This window comes from Homo sapiens, chromosome 10 (genome assembly GCF_000001405.40).
Source record: "Homo sapiens chromosome 10, GRCh38.p14 Primary Assembly".
Lineage (NCBI taxonomy): Eukaryota > Metazoa > Chordata > Mammalia > Primates > Hominidae > Homo > Homo sapiens.
The window spans coordinates 69,651,832-69,657,954 of record NC_000010.11 but is presented as its reverse complement, the minus strand read 5'-3'; the positions used below and the strand labels follow the sequence as shown (position 1 = coordinate 69,657,954).

Genomic DNA, 6,123 nt, shown 5'->3' with positions numbered 1-6,123 from the left:
AAAACCCCCAGGTGCTGACTTGTCCAGGCAGAAGCTCCTGGCATTGTGGTAACTCTGTTACTAATGTAACTTCTCAGAGCCTCAGTGCTTTCCACTGTAAAATGGGCCTGCCTCACACGATTACAAGGAGGATCAGCCAAGACAAAGGCAGGGAGTGTCCCTTGTGAGCTAGGGAGCTGGCGGCATTGGGGATAGACTGTTTCTGAGATCCAAAGGTGGCAGATGGAGGCTGGGATGGTTTTCTTTCAGACAACTCCGCCCCCAGAGATGCTGGTTCTGCTCAGTGACACTGACTTTTCTATCTCCGACTCAGAAGTGACCTACCTCAGAGGCGTGAGGCTGCTCAGCGGATCTGGGGAGGAAGGAGTTTGCAGCCGTCCTGGGAGAGGCTTGTCTGATTGTCCATCAGTAACAGCTTCAGGGTGCAGACAGCTGGAGACAGTGAGGTGGGGGCGGCTGGGAGACCAGGGAACCCAGACAGAGGGACAGGAAGGTGAGGGCTAAGACGGGAGGGAGAGGAGCCAGGGAGGGGGGTGAGCATGTGGTCCCCCAGGCTGGCCCCGTGTTAAATATAGCCCCAGCCCATTGTTCCTCAAGTAATTGTATTTCGGCTTTTTCCCTCTTGAGAGGCACCTAATTGAGGAACTGGCCAAGACAGGGGCTGCCTGGAAGTTCCAAGAACACAATTGTCTTCACGATGAAAATTAAAATTGTATATTTTTAAGTTTAAAAAAGCAAACAGTCCAAGGTCATACACTGGCCCTGTGCCTCCTGAAATCCGGCTTGTTTGCTATTCTTCCTCAAGGTGCCTGGGTCTGGGGGCCCAGAAGCCAGGGTCAGCCGAGGGCCATCCCTGGAAAGATGGCAGAGAAGAAGACCCAGTGGAACATTAGGTCATCCTGGCCAGCTGAGCTCCAGACGGCTTGTCAGCACCAAGTGGGGCTTTGAGAGCAAGCTCAGTAGAGGTATTCAGCTGGGAGCCCCCCAGCAGGTGCCAGACTCCCTCCCTCATCTCGATGTGAGCTAACCAGCCTAAAAGCAATGCTTGCTGGCCTGGGGGGACCACACCCAGGAATAGGAGGAGGAAGTACCTCCACTTCTAGGCACCAGGTCCAGAGCTTCCCCTCCTGAAGCCAGCATGCTTGTGAGGATGGGATAAATAACCTGAGTAGACACACATCTGTGTTGGCCCCTGCTTGTCTGTGTTCATGCCCCTCCCTCCCTGTCTCTCTGTTTTTGTTTCTCTCTCTCTCTCTCCCCACCGCCCCCTGACACTTTCTCTCTCTCTCTCTCTCTCATATTTTTGCTCATCAGAGAATCTCTGTGGCATTCAGGAGTCTTCATCCCATTTGGCAGAGGGGCAAGAGCACCTCAGAGGGATGGCTGAGGACTGGCCAGGGATCAGCCAGTGGGCAGAGCAGGGCTAGGAGTCCAGGGTTTGGAGTCCACCTGGTGGCCTCCACTCCCCACCTCTCCCCTCTCACAGCTCTCCCTGGCACTGCCCCTCCCGGCACCACTGCCCCAGGGAAGAGGGCAGCCCCAGCCTTCCCCTCCGCTCCCCTACCCAGGCCCTCAGATGACCCTGGGGGCCTTCCCACCTCCACACTCCAGGGAGAGTTGTTGAGGGGTCAGACCATCGGGTTCACGAGGCCAGGCTTCCTGGCAACCACTCCCGGAGCAGGGGAGTGGATTCTGCTCCACCAACCCTGGCTCACGCTGGCCTGCTCTTGACGGAAGAGAAGGTGAGAGGGCGCTGGGTGGGGCTGGGTCCCAGGACCCAGCTTGGCCTCTAAACATGACCACTCTCCTGTGCCTAGCAGGCAGCTGGAGCCTGCGGGGGGCAGGTGAGGAGGCCCAGATGTGAACTGGGAAGGTGGAGACAAATATTCACCTTCATAACAATAACAAACCCTCGTGTAACCTGACTATGGGCCAGGCACTGTGCTGAGAGATTTACATGCTGACTCACCAAATACCCACAATGGCCCTGTTGCTATCCCCATCTTACAAAGGAACTCGTGCTCTGAGAGGTTAAATCCCAGAGGTTAAATCCCAAGATCTTGGGATTCAAACCCAGTCTGGCTCCAGAGACTTGGGCTCCTAAGCACTTCTCCATGCCAGCTCCTGAAGAGTCCAACAAGCAGCCGGAGCCCTTCCCCACGCGTACACTGCACAAACAGGGCAGGCTTCATGGGTGTGACTGCGGTCGACCCGGCCCCATTCTGGGTTTAATGCTTTGCCATGGCCATTTTGACAAAGGGGGCCGCATCTTGCATTTGCACCGGGCCCTGCGGATCACACAGTCAGTGCTGGGAGCCAAAGGCGTGGCAGACAAGGTCATTCTCAGGAGGGAAAGCCGGCTGCTCACCCGTCTGCCCGCCACTTTTCATTCACTAGTCTCTGCCTGGTCTTTCTCCAGCTCTGTCTGGGCATCTACTGGGGGTCACCCAGGCTCTAAATTTGTATCTTTCTCGGAACAGTACCACATGAGAAATGTGAAACACTTCATCCCCCTGCCAGCACGGCAAGGCCCTGGCCAGCACGGCAGGGAGGTGAAGCTTCTGGAGCCCTTCCTCCCTCACCTCCTGGTGATGGATGTGCATACACATGACCCTCCCAACCTGAAGTAGGCTGCACAGCTGCAACCTTGAGCTCAGCTGCAGAACCCCACCTGCTCAGAGCCAAGCAGTGGGCTAAGCTCGCCCCCTTCAGGAGTTCCCCCGCCCCCACCCTGCCATCTGTGGAAAGTGATCAGCAGGGTCAGGGCCTGGCACACTGGGCTCTGCGCAGCCTTCACCACAGTTCCAGCAGGCCCAGAAAGGCCGACCTCTCCTCAGAGAGGAGGACAGCTTCATGCCGAGATGCTGGAAGGGACAAGAACAGGTGCTGGGCATGGTGGGTGGGGGGCAGGGCAGGCGGGCACTGGCATTCTTTCCCAGCTCTGCCCTCCTTCCAGGAGGAATTGTGCATGCCACCCAGCCCATCTGGACCTCTGCTTTCTCGCCAGTAACATGAGTGGGCCAGACCCGAAGAGTTGGAGGTCCCTTCTTGCTCCCAGATTCAGCAGTTCTGGGACTCATGTAGACGGGCACATCACAACCTCCAGCAGCAATTTTTTTTGTTTCTTTCAGAGCCACCACACAAAGACCTGAGTTCCTCTGGTTGGGAGGAAGCCCTAAGATGACCCCAGCAGCTACGAACATCCTATCATCCCACCAACCCCAAGACTCCAGCCAAGGCCCAGATGACACTTTCATTCGTCTGGCTTGGGGTCGGGGCAATCCTGGAGTCAGTCCCTGTGCCAGACAGAAGGAATGCTCTGATTGCCCAGGCCTGGTTCCACTGAGTGAGAGCTGGCAGTGGGGGAGGGACAGCTCTTGGAGGAAAGCCTGGGGAGGGGAGTCAATATGGCCCAGGCCATCCTCACTGACTCCCCCGCAGAGGGGGCACCCCCTCCTCTCTGGGCCACCAAGCCTTCCATGCGTCCCTGTAGCAGTGACAGGCATACCCATCTGGATCCCCTGTAAGGCATGAGCTTCTCCAGTAGGGACCATAGGACAACATCTCATTGATCTGTGTATCCCAGCATTCTGCTGAGAACAGGGCATACAGTCACTGCTCAGCGAAGATGTATTGGATGAGGGCTTAAATCAGAGGGCTGCAGAAAAGAATGCTTTGGAGCATTCTAGAGCACATGCTTCAAGATCCATCTCAAGTGCCAGCTTGGTCATGGAGCAGGAGCCCACTTCATTTAGGTGTCTGTGTTCAAAACAACAGCAGCAGCAACAACAAAAGCTATCTCAGAGTGGTTTAAATAAAAAAAGGAATGTATTGTTCACATAAGCAGGGAAATTCAGAGGTAAAGTGAATGTCAGGACTGGTTTTGTTACAGGATCCTTGGGGTGTTGCTTTTCTGGCTGAAAACTTCTGTGGCTGGTGGTGCCTTTGCCCCAGTTTTGCTCAGGCCCACTGGGCTTGTTCTGCCCACTCAGCCTGGCAGTCTGCACTCAGTTTACACTACCAGCCTGGATCCCACACCTCCCAGGGAGACTGCGAGTCAGGTGTGGAGTAGTGAGGGGTATGTAAGCAAGTGTGGGGTCCAGCCACTGTGCACAGTCAGACACACGAGCTGCCGCTGTGGGGTGGGCAGCTCCAGGTGCCAGCAGGCACAGGTGCCGGCTCTCTGGGAGGCTGTGGCTGGACCAGGTGTACCACAAGCCGCTTCCCCAGCTGACACTGCAGAATGTGGTGGTGCCTAGAAGCTTGGAGATGCCAGGAACCGCAGGGCCCCAAAGAGGGAGTCACAGCCCTGGCTCAGGGAGCTCCCAGGTTTGGGGTCCCCAAAGGGCTGCAGCTGTTCTCTTCTTCTCTTCACCCACAACTTGGAGAGCAAGGGGCATGTTTCAGCCCTGTTTGTGTTACAGGTCTTTTAGCCTTGCCATTTGGGAAGTCCTCAGTTCTTGCCCTGTGTCCAGGAAGAATGAGGTACACAGACACGTGGAGGGTGAGCAAGATGAAGAGGAGCTTTACTGAGCAATGGAACAGCTCAGAGGAGACCCACAGTGAGCAACTCCCCTCTGTAGCCAGGGTGTCCATACAAGTGTTCAGCTCTCAGCAGAGAGGGTAGCTTCTCTCTACAGCTGTAATGCTGGTTGTCCCAACGTCTCTTCAGCTCTCAGCAGAGAGGATAGCTCCTCTCTGCAGCTGATTGTCCCATCCTCTCTCCATCTTCTAGTTGAGTCTCGCTGAGTCTGGGGTTTTTATGGGCTTGAGAAGGGAGGAAATGTGTGCTGATAGATCCATGCGCAGCCATGGGCAGGCCCAAGGAAAAGCACCACAAGTTTGCCCCTCTGGTTCACAGGACTGGTGGCCCAGCCCCCCGGCTTCAGGACCTCCCCAGCTTGAAGGTGTGTCTTCATCGGGGACCCACCCTCTTTTGCCCAGGAGCCTGTCTGCCTCCTGCCCCTGCTGAGGGCACCCAGGCCATTCATACCAAGGGGTGCCTGCAGGCCAGTGCTGAGCTGTCCTCACACCCTCTCAGCCTCTTTCTTGTGCTTGTCAGTGCCCAAAGTCCAGAGAGGGCTGAGGAGGCAGGGGGCTGGCACGTCAGCACTACCCTGAGTGTGTGCACACCCAGCTGGGCTGTGACAGCGCCGGGCTTGGTCCCATCCTTACTCTGAGATCGGAGTGGGTGCTGGTAGTGGGGAGAGGCCAGGCAGTGGAAGCAGACACCTTCAAGCCTGCAGGGATAAGGGGGGGCCTTCCTAGGCACCAGAGACTGCAGAGATGCCTGGGTCCACAGTCACAGCTGGGCGACTGCAGCTGTGCCCAGGAGGGCAGGACTCTTGCCTGCTCCTGGCCCCCAAAAGCATGGGGAGGCCAGGTCCACAGCAACAACTTGGGCAGCTGCAGCCACGCCCGGCTCCTGCCAGCTCTACCCTGGGCCCAGGTCTGCCTCAGGGCCCCTCTCTGCTGGCCCCTCTGCCTCTAACTGTGCTGCTCCCCCACCATCAGGTGACTCTGCCCGGCCCCATTGCAGTGGCCCCCAGGGCAGCGGACTCTGGGAGGCTCCCAGGGGCAGGCTCCAGGGACTGTCTGCCTCCTCCCTGCAGCAGAAGTGGGCGACAGTGGCAATGTAGAGGCAGAGTCCAGAGCGGCGGAGGCTCCAGGCCTGGCAGTGGGTCCCACTCAGCCACACAACTGTGAGAAAGGTGCAGTCAGCTGCCTCGGGTATGGGGGGCACAGGGGATGCAGGGCACAGGGATCCCACTGCCACCACTGCCACTCCCACATCTGCTCTTGTGGCCACCGCCTGCACCCCACTGCTGCAGCCAGTGCAATGGCAGCAGCCGCTCCGAGCAGCCCGCCGCTGCTAATCAGCTTGACCCAGGGGCTCAAAAATGTCACCAAGGACCTAGTTTCATTGTTTCACCTCTGCTTCTCATGGCTTTATCTTTATCATAAGGCTGACTTCCTGTGTGATCTCAAGGTGACTTTTAGAATCTCCCTTGACTACATGCTCATCTCTCACATCAGAGACAGAGACAAGAGACAAGAGAGAGAGAACCTCTCAGCAGGCAAAGCAGATGTCCCGAGATTCACTCTGATTGAACCACATGTCCA

At 57.0% G+C, this 6,123-nt stretch overlaps 3 annotated features.

The window, feature by feature from the left end:
• Positions 413–1,190: an enhancer, noted in NCBI's record as "H3K4me1 hESC enhancer chr10:71416521-71417298 (GRCh37/hg19 assembly coordinates)". NCBI's record gives its function as "activates a minimal SCP1, AML or CMV promoter by ChIP-STARR-seq in primed H9 embryonic stem cells {active_cell/tissue: H9 hESC(primed)}" and the evidence as "EXISTENCE:reporter gene assay evidence [ECO:0000049][PMID:30033119]".
• Positions 1,191–1,969: an enhancer, noted in NCBI's record as "H3K27ac-H3K4me1 hESC enhancer chr10:71415742-71416520 (GRCh37/hg19 assembly coordinates)". NCBI's record gives its function as "activates a minimal SCP1, AML or CMV promoter by ChIP-STARR-seq in primed H9 embryonic stem cells {active_cell/tissue: H9 hESC(primed)}" and the evidence as "EXISTENCE:reporter gene assay evidence [ECO:0000049][PMID:30033119]".
• Positions 4,759–5,440: an enhancer, noted in NCBI's record as "H3K27ac-H3K4me1 hESC enhancer chr10:71412271-71412952 (GRCh37/hg19 assembly coordinates)". NCBI's record gives its function as "activates a minimal SCP1, AML or CMV promoter by ChIP-STARR-seq in naive and primed H9 embryonic stem cells {active_cell/tissue: H9 hESC(naive and primed)}" and the evidence as "EXISTENCE:reporter gene assay evidence [ECO:0000049][PMID:30033119]".